The following is a 17,812-nucleotide window of genomic DNA, read 5'->3' on the forward strand; positions in this document are numbered from 1 at the left end:
TGGGAGCAGGGTCAGGTCAGGGTCCCCCCAGTCCGCCCCGCCCGGGGCGATGTCCGCCAATGCTCCCGCCAGCCTGAGGCCGGCCAGGTTCCCAAGGCGCGCGCTCGGCCTCACCCACCCCCGGCGCCAGGGCCTCTTCAGGACCGGGTTCAGAACCTGACAGCCCAGAGAAGTAGGTTGGGAGCCTGCGGCGTCCAGGGCCTCCGCGCGAAGAAACAAGGCGTCTGCGGGAAAGGAGACGGAGCCTGGAACCCTGGGCTTTTGTACTTAAGGAAGCGAAGGTCGGGTGACAGCCAAGCTCCGTGTTCCAGTGGGAAGGTCCCATGGGTCTGTGTTCCACGCCTCTTGTCATGAATATGGGGGATTCACTTAGAACCAAAGCATTTGTTCCAGGTCCCACCACTAACTAGTACTAGTCCTGGGCCCAGAACCAGGCGTCCTCACTCCTAGTACCCAAGCCCTTCTCTAGCCACAGGTGTTTGGGCTGCGGTGTGGTGTAAGCAGCCCCATTTTCCCGCAAAGTGATGGGAAGAGACACTGAGTCACACGGGCTCAGGACACTCCTTGTGTCCTCTATCAGGGGGTCCAGAGGCAGGGACTCGGGGGAGTTGATGCAGCAGTTCGTGATGTCATCAGATATCCCCCCACCCCCTTCCATCTCAGGCTGGACTCAATTGGAAGCATTTCATGTTGGCACGGTGACGTCCAGAGGAAGGGAACAGACAAATGGCTCTCTCTGGAGCACGGAGCGTCGCCCAGAAGCCGTGCCCTCCTGTTTCAAATTGACCAGAATTAGAGCTTTCTCCTGAGGGCCTGAATTAGGGAGAAGCAAGGCAGGTGCCTAAGGCACAAAATTTCAGGAGGGCCACACGCATAGGTGCCAACCCTGCATTTGCGCGGCCCTGAGAATCAGAGCCTCCTTCAATTTGACACCCTAGGTGCCTAGCTTGTTTTTAAAAATAAAACCTTTATTAAAAGACAATTCACGGACCATAATATGCATCCTTTTAAAGCATACAATTCAATAGTTCTTGGTATATTGACAAAGCTGTCCAACTCTCACCACTATCTAACTCCAGAAGGTTTTCATCACCCTAAAAGGAACTGTGATACCCATTAGCAATTATTCTCCATTTCCTCCTTCCCACAACCCCTGGCTTCTGGGAGAGGCTCCGACCTCCAGATTTCTTTTCTGGCCCTGCGGATTGACCGACTGTGAAGATTTCATGCAAATTGAATCATACAATATGTGGTCTTTCCTGACTGCCTTCTTTCACTTAGCATAATGTTTTCAAGGGTCATTCTTGATGGTTCCAGGTAGCATTTGTTAGTACTTTATTTCTTTTTATAACTGAATAATACTTATAAAAATATTATAAAATCAAAAGGGAAATTAGAATGTATTTTGAAATTAATAAAAAATGAAAATAAAAACATCAAAATTTGTAGGATGTTATTAAGTCAGCTTTGGGGAAATTTTGCAGCATGAAATGCCTATATTAGGAGAGGAGAAAGGCTTCAAATCAATGACCTCAGTTTCTACCTTCAAAAACTAGAAAAAGTATAAATACATTGAACACATAATCAGTAGAAAAGAAGAAATAATAAAGATTAGAGAATAAATCAATGATATAGAAAACTTTATAATGATAGAGACAATTGATTAAACAAAAAGCTGTTATTTATTTATCCACTTATTTATTTTTTTGAGGTGGAGTCTTGCTCTATCGCCTAGGCTGGAGAACAATGGCGTGATCTTGGCTCACTGCAACCTCCACCTCCCAATTCCAGCGATTCTCCTGCCTCAGCCTCCCAAGTAGCTGGGACTATAGGCATGCATCACCATACCCAGCTAATTTTTGTATTTTTAGTAGAGATGGGGTTTCACCATGTTGGCCAGGCTGGTCACGAACTCCTGACATCAGGTGATCCTCCCGCCTCAGCCTCCCAAAGTGCTGGGATTACAGGCGTGAACCACTGTGCCTGGCCATACCCATGAATTTTAAGGCAACAAATGGGGGCATCGTTGTCAGTGCCATTGCAAGAAAGTGTCTGAGTAAACGTGGACCATGATGGCATAGTGCAAACATGTTAGCTGCCTCTGTGCTCCGAGGCCTAGAGGAAACGTCCTTTCAATCCAAATCATGTGACCAGCGATGGAAAATGGGTTTAGGAAAGGATAAAAACACAGAACTATGAAAACAAGGTTATTTTAGCTTTTCCTTTCCTTTCTCCTCTTTCCCCCACTAAAAATTGTATGGGGGGGTGGGGCATGAAATCTGTTCAGAAATAGCTAAGAATCAAGAGATTTTGCAATTACCTATATTTTTCATTTAAAATCTCTTCTACTTTATTACTTTAAGAAAGTCACAACATATCACAAAAATATTTCTTTATCTGATTGCTCATCATGGTTTTCCCAGATAGAAAATACACAGGGCCCCAGAGGAAGCATTTTTCCAGGATTTTCCAACACTGTCCGGAGGAAGGGAGTCTTTGATCCTCACACCAGGTCCAAGGATTTTTCAAAAATCACTACTTCATGATCAGACAAGCCCAAGAGAAATGACAGAATCATGTTGCTGGCCTGAAAACCTGGCAAACGTGTAAGCAGACCTCCGTCACTGAGGACCCACCCAGCAGTAACTTCCTTCCTAGCTCCAAGTTCACTGCAAATAAAGTCCCTCACCACCAATGACCCAGCCGTTGTGCGTCTCTAGACTCTTCTGCATCTTTAGCAAAGGCCACATTTTCCAGCTCTACCTGTGGGCATTTGACACACTTCCTTAAAGTCCTGCAAAGAGCAAAATATGGAGCGTGGCCCTATTCATTCTGCAAAGGTTTCCACAACTTTGAAAACATTTCCCTGCCCCCAACATGTTCCTATCATGCTTGTGACACAGTCAGGTTCCATTCTAAGACTCATGCATTCAGTTAACAAAAAATAATTCGCTTCCTGCCATGGGCTTGGCTTGGCACTTGCTGGGAACTTGGTACCAAGTTGAAGACACAATATCTGGCCCAAGAGGGCAGCAGTCTGAGGGAGAGACGGCGAGCACACTGAGGTACTTCCAAGGTGCCCTGAACACCCCTAGAATGGCCCAGCCCAACACTTAAGCTCCACAGGGACTTTCCACTAAATCTTCTGTCTCCCACACCGGACTGCGAGCCTCAGGACAGCCTAACCCTCCTTTACTAATTTTTATATTAGCACACTGTACATTTGGCCACCGGTACCTCAGGTTCCACATCCACAGATTCAACCAACTGCAGATGGAAAAATTTTTTAAAAAATCAAAAAATAATACAAAATTTAAAACAATACAGTATAACGGCTATTTGTACAGCATTTACATTGTATTAGGTATTATACATAATCTAGAGATGATTTCAAGCGTATGGGAGGATGTTACACAGGTTACATTTGCATAGGTTATATGCAAACACTACGCCATGTTATATTAGGGACTTGAGGATCCGCAGAGCTCAATGTTCGCTAGGATCCTGGAATCAATCAGATACCAAGAGACAACTGTATTTGCTGAAGCGTATTTGTTGAATGATTGAAAGGCTTCATACTGGGATTAGATGATCAAGAAATAGAGATCTGCAAGTGGGCAAACAGGGAAACGGCATTTCAGATCTGCATCATCCAGGTGGCTTGAGAGAACAGGGACCAAGGAAGGTCCCTGAAGATGGACTTGGAAGGGTCTGGAGGTTGTGTGTGTGTGTGTGTGCGCGCTCGAGTATGTGTGTCGAGGTTGTGTGTGTGTGTGTGTGTGTGTGCTCGAGTACGTGTGTCGAGGTTGTGTGTGTGTGTGCTCGAGTACGTGTGTCAAGGTTGTGTGTGCTCGAGTACGTGTGTCAAGGTTGTGTGTGTGCTCGAGTACGTGTGTCGAGGTTGTGTGTGTGTGCTCGAGTATGTGTGTCCAGGTTGTGTGTGTGTGTGTGCTCGAGTATGTGTGTCAAAGTTGTGTGTGTGTGTGCGCGCGCTCAAGTATGTGTGTCCAGGTTGTGTGTGTGTGTGCGCTCGAGTATGTGTGTCGAGGTTGTGTGTGTGTGTGTGTGTGCTCGAGTATGTGTGTCCAGGTTGTGTGTGTGTGCTCGAGTACGTGTGTCGAGGTTGTGTGTGTGCTCGAGTACGTGTGTCGATGTTGTGTGTGCTCGAGTACGTGTGTTGAGGTTGTGTGTGTGTGTGCTCGAGTACGTGTGTCGAGGTTGTGTGTGTGCGCTTGAGTACGTGTGTCGAGGTTGTGTGTGTGCTCGAGTACGTGTGTCGAGGTTGTGTGTGTGTGCTCGAGTACGTGTGTCGAGGTTGTGTGTGTGTGCTCGAGTACGTGTGTCGAGGTTGTGTGTGTGCTCGAGTACGTGTGTCGAGGTGTGTGCTCGAGTACGTGTGTCGAGGTTGTGTGTGTGTGTGCTCGAGTACGTGTCGAGGTTGTGTGTGTGTGCTCGAGTACGTGTGTCGAGGTTGTGTGTGTGTGCTCGAGTACGTGTGTCGAGGTGTGTGTGTGCTCAAGTACGTGTCGAGGTTGTGTGTGTGTGCTCGAGTACGTGTGTCGAGGTGTGTGTGTGTGCTCGAGTACGTGTGTCAAGGTTGTGTGTGTGTGTGCTCGAGTACGTGTGTCGAGGTTGTGTGTGTGTGTGCGCTCGAGTACGTGTGTCGAGGTTGTGTGTGTGTGTGTGTGTGTGCTCGAGTACGTATGTCGGGAGGGGGATAAGAAGAACACAGCAGCAGGAGATGAGCCTTGAAACGTATGTTGAGGTCAAATCGAAAAGGCCTGTATGCAAACCTTTGAAGCCCAGAGCTGACTCCCTTCCATGATCACCTGGTTTCAGCTATAATGGGCTTGGCACTAGCCTCCCATCCTCTGCCCATCTTCTTGTTCTCAAATAATCTTGGTTCTACAGAAGAGGATGTAGAGAGGAGAAGGGGCTAGGCAACGAGAAAGGTGGCAGGTGGCCCCCTGTGTCCCCAGTATTCTCCAATTATAATAGTCAAAGATCAGGCCAATGTTCAAAAATGATTCCTGGGATCGCTGGTGCTTATCCACCCAAAGGGCCCAGAATCTGCCCCAGTGGGATATAAGCCGAGAGCAGGCAACCTCCACAGGAGAGTCCCCGGCAGCAGTGATGACTGGGATGTATTTGAATCTTACAGAAGAACCCTTGGAATCCAGCCAGTCAGCAGCTCACTGATCTCAGATAACATCATCCTGCATGCTACCTGGTGTGGTGAAAAGCAAGAGAGATCAGATTGTTACTGTGTCTGTGTAGAAAGAAGTAGACATAGGAGACTCCATTCTGTGCTGTACTAAGAAAAATTCTTCTGCCTTGAGATGTTGTTGATCTATGACCTTACCCCCAACCCCGTGCTCTCTGAAACATGTGCTGTGTCAGACTCAGGGTTAAATGGATTAAGGGCTGTGCAGGATGTGCTTTGTTAAACAGATGCTTGAAGGCAGCATGCTCCTTAAGAGTCATCACCACTCCCTCATCTCAAGTATCCAGGGACACAAACACTGCGGAAGGCCGCAGGGACCTCTGCCTAGGAAAGCCAGGTATTATCCAAGGTTTCTCCCCATGGGATAGTCTGAAATATGGCTTCATGGGAAGGGAAAGACCTGACCGTCCCCCAGCCCGACACCCGTAAAGGGTCTGTGCTGAGGAGGATTAGTAAAAGAGGAAGGAATGCCTCTTGCAGTTGAGACAAGAGGAAAGCATCTGTCTCCTGCCCGTCCCTGGGCAATGGAATGTCTCGGTATAAAACCCGATTGTACGTTCCGTCTACTGAGATAGGGAAAAACTACCTTAGGGCTGGAGGTGGGACATGCGGGCAGCAATACTGCTTTGTAAAGCATTGAGATGTTTATGTGGATGCGTATCTAAAGCACAGCACTTGATTCTTTACCTTGTCTATGATGCAAAGACCTTTGTTCACGTGTTTGTCTGCTGACCCTCTCCCCACTATTGTCTTGTGACCCTGACACATCCTCCTCTCTCAGAAACACCCAGGAATGATCAATAAATACAAAGGGAACTCAGAAGCCGGCGGGATCCTCCATATGCTGAATGCTGGTCCCCTGGGTGCCCTTATTTCTTTCTCTATACTTTGTCTCCGTGTCTTTTTCTTTTCCAAGTCTCTCGTTCCACCTAACGAGAAACACCCACAGGTGTGGAGGGGCGACCCACCCCTTCAACCTGGTAGAATTTGTTTGAGCCTCATGTATTGCATTATGGAAGGGTTTTTCTGGACTGTGAGTACACGTTTAAGTAAATAAAAGCTACTCACATTTAAAGCCTCAGTTTAATGAACAGATTTTTTATTTACAAAAACTATTCTGTCAGTAATGGGGGTTTATGAGACAGAGGGAGGTTTCAGGCTGTGCTTGGAGAGAGTGCTTAAAAGGCAGTTAAGATGGTAGTGTAGAAGCTAAAGGGGGATTGTGAAGCCAGGCAGTAGCAGGGATGACTCAGAAAGGGGGCGAATGTAAGAGGCCTTGAGAGGAAACCAGTCCAGCACCCAGAGGTGAGATGGGGGAGGAGGCCCTGATGGCTGAGCCTTGTGCTGCATGCTGGAAGACGGGGTTTAAGGAGGAGACGCAGATTTGGGCGCAGGAGAATGGACATATTGAAATTGACATCAGAAGAGGGTTATCAAAAAATAAACAAGGGAGATGTAATTTAGAAGCAATATTAAAGATTAAAATTAGACCAGGCCCAGTGGCTCACACCTGTAATCCTAACACTTTGGGAGGCCAAGGCAGGTGGATCACTTGAGGTCAGGAGTTCAAGACCAGCCTGGCCAATATGGTGAAACCCCATGTCTACTAAAAATACAAAAATTAGCCAGGCGTGGTGGCATGCGCCTGTAATCCCAGCTACTCAGGAGGCTGAGGCAGGAGAATGGCTTGAACCCAGGAAATGGAGGTTGCAGTGAGCCAAGATCGCACCACTGCACTCCAGCCTGGGCAACAGACTGAGATTCTGTCTCAAAAAAAAAATAATAAATAAAAATTATAATTACACAAGTGCAATTCTAAGTACATGTGATGGCAGCAGAATTGTGTGTATTCTCTACTCTTCTGTAGTTCCTCTTTTATTTTCCTTTTCATTGATTCTGAGTACTACTTACTAAAACGTGTTTTTTTCTCCAAAGTCTGTCAGCGATTCTAAGATATATTCACTTCAATGGGAAGTGACTGGAAGTCTTGGTGAACGTCGTTATCTTTGTTTAAACAAAGTGCCTGGTAATATTAAACAGCAATGCCAACTTCGAACATTGCCCTCTTACTTCCCCTAAAGAGGGACCTCCAAATGAATCTCTACACAAAAAATTAGGTAGGGTCCTATAACGAAATGCTTTAATTGTCTAGCGCAGGGTTTCTCAACTGACGTATTGCTGATGTGTGAAGCCAGATCATTCTTTGCACTGGGTGCTGTCCTGTGCAGTGCAGGACATTCAGCAGCATCCCTGGCCTCCACCCCCTCCATGCCAGGCACACCTACCCCTCAATGATGATAACCAAAAATGTCTCCAGACATTGCCAAATGTCCTCCAGGCCGGGGCACAGTTGCCCCCTAGGTGAGAACCATGGGTCTGGCAGATTTATTCATGCTAGGAAGCCTTGATAACAGGAGGAAAACAGAACAGAAAAAAAAAAAAAATGAGTCTTCAGGTTTAAATCTAACCTGGCCCCAGGGAACACAAGAAAGAGCAGACATAAAACTGAAAATGTTTCACCAGTAATTTTACAGAAGTTCTCCAGGTAACACTGTGATTTAAATGTCAAGCCACAGTGAAAATTAAGGTTGTTCCTCTATCACCGGCCCTTCCACCAGAAGCTGGAAGAAACAGCTGCAGGGGGATCTTCAGCTGAGGTCTGTGGATGCAGTTCGAGAGGTCAGCCAGACACCACTAATGTGACTTGCACAACATTGCACAGGTGGTAACACGCCGAGACACTTCCCCAGATCATCAAAGAAACCTGAGACTCAGAAAGGTTAAGGACTGCTTCCCTAAAGCAGTGCCCACTACCTCATTTGTACATATGGTTCCCATCATCCATTTTGGGGCAGTCAGAATATATTTGCCCTCTAAGCTCCAGAAGATATACATTCTCATTTGTGTTTTTTTCTTTTTTCACGTATTCATTATCATCCACTAAAAATAACCCATTTTATGGAAGGTTCATTTACAGCTGCAATTCTATTTTAAACACATTTAGCAAAAGTTTAAAACAAAAAATTGAAATTGTCTTTTTGTGGAATAGAATTGTAGCTTTACCTTATCAAAGATGCAATTTTGCTGTGATTTATGGATGCTTTTGTCTAGAGAAAATAACTTCATCACTTGATTTCTCCCACAAACACTACAGGAGATTCCCCATCCTGCACAGTTCACCTTTCTATCCATTTCTGCCATGTGCTATCATGAGGTCCTTCCTGCCACCTACAGGCCACCCCAGCTTTTACCGGCTGATGTGAAGGTATGAAAAGGCCCCTCTGTGGAAGCACAGGAGAAAAACATGCCATCATTCTCCCCATGTGATAGGTACATTTCCACCTGTCCCTATGAGCACCATGGCCATGGCAGAGGAGATGCTCAGGGGCAAGAAAAACATATTTCATGAGTTGCTCTCATCACCCTCCTCCTTAATAAACTGCTGGCAAAAGTGCCATCTGGGCAGGGCGCAGTGGCTCACGTCTGTAATCCCAGCACTTTGGGAGGCTGAGGCGGGTGGATCACTTGAGGTCAGGAGTTCGAGACCAGCCTGGCCAACATGGTGAAATCCTGTCTCTACTAAAAATACAAAAAATTAGCCAGGCGTGGTGGCACACACCTGTAATCCCAGCTACTCAGGACGCTAAGGCAGGAGAATCACTTGAATCCAGGAGGTGCAGGTTGCAGTGAGCCGAGATTGCACCACTGCACTCCAGCCTGGGTGAAAGAGTGAGACTGTCTCCAAAAAAAAAAAAAAAAAAAAAAAAAAAGTGCCATCTGCACCTGAATTCATCCACCAGGGAAGGTCTGGATCAGAAGCACATCAACCAAGCCCTCTATGGCCACCTAGTCGTCAGTCCCCAGTCAGTGAACACTGGGGTGTAGCCAGCAGAATAATGCCCCTTGCCAAAGATGTCTTACCTCCTAATCCCCAAAACCAGTGACTGTCTTACATGGCAAAAGAGATTTTGCCGATGTGGTCCCTCTAGTTAAGAATCTTGAGATGGGAGACGTGCTGGTTATCTGGTATTATGTTCATTTTAAATGTTATTGTAATCAGGTTCTTCTGGCCTGTGTGCTCAGATCAAAGCCAGGTTTCCCAATGACCCGGTAGCCAATTTGCAATGCTTAAATATGGTTTATTGCCAGAGACTCACACATACCCAATCAATCGAGCAAACATTCACAATACAATTATTTTTTTCATTGTTTCTTTTCCTGTGAGTGATGGGAATGACATGATACAATTACTAAAGGCAGTAATGAGCGGAATGGCAAACCCAGGCTGTGGCTGAGGAGGCCAGCACAGCAGACACTCCTCTCACACAGAGCCTCTGGGCAGCCCGTCTCACCGGGAGGAGGCACTTTTTTTTTTCTATTATAAGTTTTAGGGTACATGTGCACAACATGCAGGTTAGTTACATATGTATACATGTGCCATGTTGGTGTGCTGCACCCAGTAACTCGTCATTTAACATTAAGTATATCTCCTAATGCTATCCCTCCCCCCTCCCCCCACCCCACAACAGTCCCCAGAGTGTGATGTCTCCTACAGGCAGGAATTCTCAAGGTGCCTCTGACAGTGTCAGTTCCTTGCTGGTTTTATGGTTTTCCCCAGGTGTGTCCGTCATCATCATCTCAGCCACCTTTTGGCTCCATTTTCTATCGGTTCCTTTTGGGTCTCAAGTGGTACATGCCACAGCAAATGTAATCTCATCTCTTATACATATGTTTATCGCCTTAAAGAAAAACAACTTTACTATGAGCTCAGGCTCAGTCTAGTACACATACGCTTACCACTTTAAGGAGTAAACAACTTCACTGTGGGCTTCATGCCACTTGAAAACCAAAAAGTATCTGAGGCAAGTCTGGATCAATTTAGAGGTTTATTTTGCCAAGGTTAAGGGCATGCCGATGACACGGCCTCAGGAGGTCCTGAGAACAGGTGCCCAAGGTCAGGACACAGCTTGGTTTTATACATTTTAGGGAGACATGAGACATCAATCAATACGTGTAAGATGTACTTTGGTTTGGAAAGGCAGGACAACTGGAAGCAGGGGCTTCCAGGTCATAGGCAAACCCAGAGGTTTTCTGAATCAATAGAAAGGAATGTCTGGATGATGATAAGGGGTTGTGGACACCAAGCTTTTATCATGCAGGTGAAGCCTCCAGGTAGCAGGTGTGAGACATAATAAACCGTAAATGTTTCTTATCAGACTTAAAGAGTCTGCTCTATCAGTAATTCCAAAACGGAAGACTGCATAATGAGGCATGTCCGGCTCCCCTTCCCATCATGGCCTGAACTAGTTTGCAAGTTAGCTTTGGGCCTTTACCGAGAGGACGGGTCCATATAGAGGACTGAGGGCTTAGAATTTTATTTTTGGTTTACACACATAACACAAGCCACTCCATTTTTAGACATTAGGATCACAAATCATTCTTATAGATCATCTGGGTGGGCTCAGTGTGATCACAGGTCCTCATGAGAGAGGGAGGAGGGCCACAGCCAGAGGAGACGTGAGGACAGAGGCAGAGGTCAGGGTGATGCGGAGCCACAAGCCATGGAACACAGGCGGCCTCTAGGAGCTGGAAAAGGCCAGGAAGCAGATTCTCCCCGGAGCCTTGGGAGGAATCAACCCAGCTGACCCGTTTTGGAGTTCTGACTTCAGAGCTGTACGGTGTAAAGCTCGGTTGTTTTCAGCCATTTGAGGTTTGAGGTAATTTGTGATGGCAGCAATAGGAAACGAATACACTGGCTTAGTCACAGAGTAGCCAATATGGGGCCTCAGCAACAGGACTGCTGCAGGGCTCACAGGCACCCTCAGAGACCAGCTGGCTGTACCCGCCCCTAGTGCAAACAGGCACCGCCCTAAGTTCTTTATGTGCCTCTCAGCTAACCCTCACTATCACACACCGAGGCCCTGCAGTAAGTACCCACCAAGATGAGGAGACTGAGTTTGTTCCCGATCTCCTAGGTGGTTGGTGTCAATGAAGTCAGGGTTGGAAACTGTGATTTGATTCCACAGCCTGCATCCTTGATCATTCCATAAAATCCCGATTGCTGCTAGCTCCTTCCCAATTTGGTGTCACTAATATAATTTGTAACCACTGTTCTGTGAATAAAGAATGTAATTCTCTGTAAATAAAAACTACATTTTTTTTTTTTTTTTTTGAGACAGCCTCACTCTGTCACCCAGGCTGGAGTGCAGTGGCGCAATCTCAGCTCACTGCAACCTCTGCCTCCCGGGCTCAAGTGATTCTCCTGCCTCAGCCTCCCAAGTAGCTGTGATTACAGGCATGCACCACCAGGCCCGGCTAATTTTTGTATCTTTAGTAGAGATGGGGTTTCAACATCTTGTTCGGGCTGGTTTTGGACTCCTGACCTCAGGTGATCCACCTGCCTCGGCCTCCCAAAGTGCTGGGATTACAGGTGTGAGCCACCGTGCCGGGCCAAAGCTACATTTCTAAAAAATAAAACTAAAAACTACATTTCTGTCACCATGTCATGTGAAACAGCTGGACAGATCTCACCAAATCTGAAGGGTCCATTTGAGATGTAAAATAAGGGCTATGTTGAAGAGACAGTTACTTTAAATCTGGGAGAGTCCACAGAGAGGTACCACTTCCCCCGGAGTTGCTGAAACTAGGCTAGGGAGCTGTCCAGGGCAGCCTTGGCATAGACATCAAATATGAAGCCCAAATCCCACGTGGAAACTTGAGTTGGAGGTGTTGATTTGGGGCCAGTCGACACATCACTTGGGGCAGGTCCAGGAGGTATGCTTCCATGTGAGAGTGGCTGGATCACCCATGTGCACCCTGGAAGGTAGAAGGAAAAGATGTGCCTGAGAGAAACTTTATTACTAAATCAAAAGTTACTACAGGTTACTATCAGTTATTATAATTTTAGCAAATTTTTATAAGTCCAACATTAATTATTTCTTTTTTTCCTAGACAAAGGCTTGCTCTGTCACCTAGACTGGACTGCAGTGGCACGATCTCGGCTCACTGCAACCTCTGCCTTCCAAGTTCAAGCAATTCTCCTGCCTCAGCCTCCCGAGTAGCTGGGACCACAGACCTGCACCACCACACCCAGCTAATTTTTGTATTTTTGGTAGAGGTGGGGTTTCGCCATGATGCCCAGGCTGGTCTCGAACTCCTGACCTCAAGTGATCCACCTGCCTTGACCTCCCAAAGTGCTAGGATTACAGGCGTGAGCCACCACACCTGGCCTAATTATATCTTTCTATTAAGCCTTACCTAATAATAGTAGAGTAGGATTCTCTTTGGCTGGGTCACTATTCAATAAAATATTAAAGTTCATCCATGTGCCTCTGTTTCCCAAAGTCTCTTTGCTGTTACTATTGAGGACATTTTAGGAAATGAAGAGACAAATCATCCACAATCCAATAACCCTGCAAGCTATTTTTCTATATTATGTTATCCTCTCTTTTATCATATGCATGTATATTTTGCTCACATTTTTTAAAGCCACATAAGAAATGTATGTTTCCATTTGGAAAATTAGAAAATATGCAAAGCAAGAATTACAGAAAACTCTATGCAGAGATAAGGATCATCATGCATGTGCTGACTTTTATAAACAGGGTATCATCCCCTGATCTTGCTTCTTCCACATCACCAGTGGACTGCAGTGCCTCACCCTGCAGTTGTGAGGCTATACTCCCTTAAGCCTTAGCAGGGGTCTTCTGAGTCTCTCAGGGGCACGATGGGAAGGAAAAGGAGCTGAGTGGATGAGGCGGGAGATGGGAGACAATTATTTCAAAGAGTGCACCTCCACTGTCAGATGTTTTGTTTTAGCTTTCTGCTAAAATATTTTTTAAAAGGGAGTGCCTCACACTTAAAAAAGGCGTGAAGGCCATTTTTACATACAGAACAACAAACAGGCCAATCAGTGCAAATTCTTTTACATTTCAATGAGTGAAAATGTCAGCCAAGAAAATGCCATCTAGTGATATTTGCACAACAGTACCCTACACATAATAGGTCATGATTCTAGAACAAAATGTGAAAGTTCATCCATTGTCCTCAAATAATCAAGCCTCTGGGGAGCCTTCCAGGGCAGCAGCTGCTAGAAGGTTGGTGTCTGTAGTGTCTCCAGCACAGCAGGGTCTGGTCTGTGTCCAGGCTGCTTCTGCCATGCTCAATCTCACCTTACTCTTGAAGGAAATAAAAGGCTAGGAAGCCAGAAGAAATACTCACACTGAGGGCACTGGCCCACCAGGGATGGCATTAGCAAAAGAGACTCAATGAGGATGAGAAAACAGAGATGACAGAGACCCAAATAACATTTGAATTGGACTCTACCTGCAAGTGGAGCTTTACCATCCAGGTGAGGCAGTCATAAACCTAGGCTGGAGTGTGTGTGTGTGTATAATCATCCTGTCGGAACAGGCAAAGGAATGAACTGGAGTACCCATCAATGTTGACTCTCCATTAAACTGCTCTTAATTCCTTACAATCACGTACTTCTGGCCTCTCCTGTCTTCCCTCTTCCTCCCTCTCACTTCCTCACCTCTTTCCTTTCCAGCCTGTAGGTACTGGTCATTATCTACCCCATAGCAATGACACACACACATGCACACACTCACACACAAGTGTGCCTTGGGGGTGTGTCCCAGCTCACACTGATGGTTAGGCTGACGCTGGAAGGAGACAACAGGGCGACTCTCTTCTCCGCCCCCTCAGGTTCTTCTTGGTACTCCACTCCCATTTGCACATTAAAGATTGTAAGAGAGTTGGAACTTTGGACATGGATGGACCTCTCCCAGTAAATCTAGAAGGCATTCATTCCAACAGCATACAAAACAATACTGGTGGGTGCCCACGCCACAACACTATGGCACCATAAATATACTGCTATAGGAAAAGTTTGATTTCCAGCCATTGAACTTGACATTGAAATTCCAGCCTGGGTGCAGTAGGGTGAGCCTGTAGTCCCAGCTACTCTGGAGACTGAGGCAGGAAGAGCACTTGAGTCCAGGAGTTCAAATCCAGTCTGAGCAGTATAATGAGACCCCCTTCTCTAAAAAACAAATAAATACATACATTGGCATCAAACTAGTTTCCTTTTTACACATAAAAAAGCAAGGTGGCTGCACTCCTCTCTCCCCACACACGCTCCTGCTGATGAGTTTATTCCAAGAGCACCGATGCAGACCTTCCCTTCCATTTTTGTGGGGAAAGAAAATGATCTGGAACTCACGCCAGAGGGGAGGGCACATACAGGAATTTGCTGTTGCGGGTCAGCCACATGTTCACCCATAGCAGGAAGAGCCAGCTTTGGGGGAGCCAGGGTCTGCTGTTTCCTGTCAGAGGGGCAGTGGCGAGACCCTCGGGAAGCCCCAAACTTCCCAGGAACCCTCTTGGCAGGGCAGCCGGTTTCAGGCATCTGAACTCTATCTGCCGTCTGGAGAGTCATGAGTGCTTTTAAACAAATGTAGGATGCAATTACTTTGGAGTTTTAGGGAAACCATATGGATGGCCGTCTGATGTGGAAAAGCTAGGGCGCCTGTCGGCAGTCCACGGCCATAGAACTGCAGCTGCCAGGATGCAGCTGGAGAATTAGGACATGAGCTGCTGCCATGACTAGCACAGGTCAGGGGGCGGGCAGAGGTGAGAACTGCTCTGAGAGGCTCCAGCAACATTTATACCCAAGGAAGCCCAGTGGGAGTGGGGGTGTTCCACTGGAGGCACGTGGGACATCCCAACCGCCCCTGTAAGCAAAGACAGCCCAGGATATTCAAATATAAATATAGGTAGTGTCACAGGAGTTGAAACCAGAGCAACTCCATCTTGAACAGGGGATGGGTAAAATGAGGCTGGGACCTACAGGGCTGCATTCCCAGGAATTTAGGCCTTCTCAGAAGGCCAGCACAAGATACATGCCACCAAGACCCGCTGATAAAACAGGATGCAGGGCCCAGGGCAGTGGGTCACACCTGTAATCCCCAAACTTTGGGAGACCAAGGCAGGTAGATCGCTTGAGCCCAGGAGTTTGAGACCAGCCTGAACAACATAGCAAAAGCCCGTCACAACAACAACAAAAATTTAAAAATTAGCCAGGCATGGTGGCACACGCCTGTAGTCCCAGCTACTCAAGAGGCCAAGGTGGGAGGATCACTTGAGCCCAGAAGGTCGAAGCTGCAGTGAGCCACGATTGTGCCACTGCACTCTAGCCTGGTGCTAGAGCGCACTCTAGTCTCAAAAAAATAAATAAAAACAGGATGCAATAAAGAAGCCGGCCAAAACCCACCGAATCCAAGACGGTGACAACATGACTTCTGGTCCTCTTCACTGCTCATCATACGCTAATTATAATGCCTTAGTATGCTAAAAGACACTCCCGCCAGTGCCATGGCATGCCAGTGCCACAGCAGGAAGTTACCCATGTCTGGAAGTTACCCTATGTGGTCTAAAAGGAAGAGGAACCCTCAGTTCTAGGAAATCCCTGCCCCCTTCCCAGGAAACTTATGAATAATCCACCCCTTGTTTAGTGTATGATCAAGAAATAACCATAAAAATAGCCAACCAGCAACCGCTGGGGCTGCTCTGCCTGTGGAGTAGCCATTCTTTATGCCTTTACTGTCTTAATAAACTTGCTTTCACTTTACTCTATGGACTCACCCTGAGTTCTTTCTTGTGCAAGACCCAAGAACCTTCTCTTAGAGTTTGTCTCAGGACCCCTTTCCAAGAACAGTAGGGCGTTGGCATGAGTGGCACTTCTAGAGACAGACCTTGGATGCCATCTGCATCCCTGTGCCAGGAAGTTCTATGGAAGTGGAGGAAATTAGTTGGAGGTTATAGTGGAGACCCATGAGAAGAAATCCACCCAATTCAGGGGAATGTCCAACATTTGAAGTTGACTGGGTACCTGAGAGAGTGTGGGAGCCCGAGAGGGAAGGTTGAGGGAGGGCAGGAAAGCCCCTGGCAAAGTGAGATGTGGAGGGAGGGGCCCACTGGCCGCCACAAGGGCAGCAGGGAAGAGGCGTGTTTCCAGCTGAGGGGAGCTGCCAGTGAAGAAGGAAGATGGGAGGTGTTTTGCTTTTTTAAAAAAGCAGTAGCAACATGTCAACGAAAAGAGTCAACTTCTGTAAAATATTTGAAGAGATTTATTCTGAGCCAAATATGAGTGACCATGGCCCGTGGCACAGCCCTCAGGAGATCCTGAGAACACGTGCCCAAGGTGGTTGGGACACAGCTTGGTTTTATACATTTTAGGAAGACATGAGACATCAATCAATACATGTAAAATGTACATTGGTTTGGTCCGGAAAGGAGGGACAAGTCAAAGTGGGGGCTTCCAGGTCATAAGCAGAGCCAAAGATTTTCCAAATCAATAGAAAGGAATGTCTGGGTTAAGATAAGGGGTTGTGGAGACCAAGGTTTCAGCATGCAGGTGAAGCCTCCAGGTAGCAGGCTTCAGGGAAAATAGATTGTAAATGTTTTTTTAATCAGATTTAAAGTAAAGTAAGTGTTTCCTTTTTTTTTTTTTTTTTTGAGACAGAGTTTCACTCCGTTGCCCAGGCTGGAGTGCAGTGGTACGATCTTGTCACTGCAACCTGCGCCTCCCGAGTTCAAGCGATTCTCCTGCCTCAGCCTTCCAATTAGCTGGGATTACAGGCACCATGCCCCCAGCTAATTTTTGGATTTTTTTTTTTTTTTAGTAGAGATGGGGTTTCACCATGTTGGCCAGGCTGGGTCTTGAGCTCCTGACCTCGAATGATCCACCCACCTTGGCCTTCCAAAGTGCTGGGATTACAGGTGCGAGCCACCGCGCCCGGCCAAGTAAATGTTTCTTATCAGATTTAAAGCATCTGTTCTATCAGTAATTCCAAAAGAAAGGAGGGTATAATGAGGCACGTCCCGCTCCCCCAAACCATCCTGGCGCAAACTAGTCTTTCAGGTAAACTTTGGAATGTCCTTGGCAAGAGGGGACGTCCATTCAGATGGTTGGGAAGCTTAGAATTTTACTTTTGGTTTACAAACGTGAGACGGTTGCTGTAGATGCGGGCGGCGAGCATGTCAGGACTTCCCCTCCTCCTATCCGGTGACTCCTTGGACCACATCAACCCAGAGCAACAAGACCCATTGCCCCTGCTACCTGGGGCCCGCATGGCATGTCTGAGCAATGACCCCATCCTCGCTGCCCGCTGCCCAGCTGGCGGACCCTGCCAGGTTCTTACTGCGATGGCCACTCCCCAACCACCACACCCGCAGCACCTCCACGCTAGTGGCTCCTCCCCACCCAAGGCTCCTCCCTGCCCACAGCTCCTCTCAACCTGTAGCTCCTCCCCTCCAGCAGTTCCTCCCTGTGACCCCCGCGCCTGCAGCTCTCCCTCCACTCCCCTGTGCCTGCCTCAGGCCTCAGTCCGCTTCCTTTCCCTAAGCTCACTTGGAGTCCTGGCTCACCCATGGTGCCCACACTTCCAAGACTCCAGCACTTGGGAGGTTCCTGCCACCAGCATCACCATCACTACTGCTACTGAAACACCAGGGGTTGAGTCTAGGTCCTGCTGTTTGCTGCACAGAAAGCCCGTGACTGAGACAAGCATTGCCAAGAAAGAAAGC

General features: G+C 47.2%; 6 annotated features.

Annotated features, from left to right (window-relative positions):
• Positions 24 to 73: a silencer, noted in NCBI's record as "silent region_16837". NCBI's record gives its function as "represses an Ori minimal core promoter by ATAC-STARR-seq in GM12878 lymphoblastoid cells {active_cell/tissue: GM12878}" and the evidence as "EXISTENCE:reporter gene assay evidence [ECO:0000049][PMID:35858748]".
• Positions 4,332 to 5,165: an enhancer, noted in NCBI's record as "H3K27ac-H3K4me1 hESC enhancer chr6:2907997-2908830 (GRCh37/hg19 assembly coordinates)". NCBI's record gives its function as "activates a minimal SCP1, AML or CMV promoter by ChIP-STARR-seq in primed H9 embryonic stem cells {active_cell/tissue: H9 hESC(primed)}" and the evidence as "EXISTENCE:reporter gene assay evidence [ECO:0000049][PMID:30033119]".
• Positions 4,332 to 5,999: a biological region, named in NCBI's record as "hESC enhancers GRCh37_chr6:2907997-2908830 and GRCh37_chr6:2908831-2909664".
• Positions 5,024 to 5,318: a silencer, noted in NCBI's record as "tiled region #12972; HepG2 Repressive non-DNase unmatched - State 20:ReprD, and K562 Repressive DNase matched - State 8:EnhW". NCBI's record gives its function as "represses a minimal TATA promoter and a strong SV40 promoter by Sharpr-MPRA in HepG2 and K562 cells {active_cell/tissue: HepG2 | K562}" and the evidence as "EXISTENCE:reporter gene assay evidence [ECO:0000049][PMID:27701403]".
• Positions 5,166 to 5,999: an enhancer, noted in NCBI's record as "NANOG-H3K27ac hESC enhancer chr6:2908831-2909664 (GRCh37/hg19 assembly coordinates)". NCBI's record gives its function as "activates a minimal SCP1, AML or CMV promoter by ChIP-STARR-seq in primed H9 embryonic stem cells {active_cell/tissue: H9 hESC(primed)}" and the evidence as "EXISTENCE:reporter gene assay evidence [ECO:0000049][PMID:30033119]".
• Positions 12,951 to 13,493: an enhancer, noted in NCBI's record as "OCT4-NANOG-H3K4me1 hESC enhancer chr6:2916616-2917158 (GRCh37/hg19 assembly coordinates)". NCBI's record gives its function as "activates a minimal SCP1, AML or CMV promoter by ChIP-STARR-seq in naive H9 embryonic stem cells {active_cell/tissue: H9 hESC(naive)}" and the evidence as "EXISTENCE:reporter gene assay evidence [ECO:0000049][PMID:30033119]".

Source organism: Homo sapiens, chromosome 6, assembly GCF_000001405.40.
Source record: "Homo sapiens chromosome 6, GRCh38.p14 Primary Assembly".
In the NCBI taxonomy this organism is placed as follows: domain Eukaryota; kingdom Metazoa; phylum Chordata; class Mammalia; order Primates; family Hominidae; genus Homo; species Homo sapiens.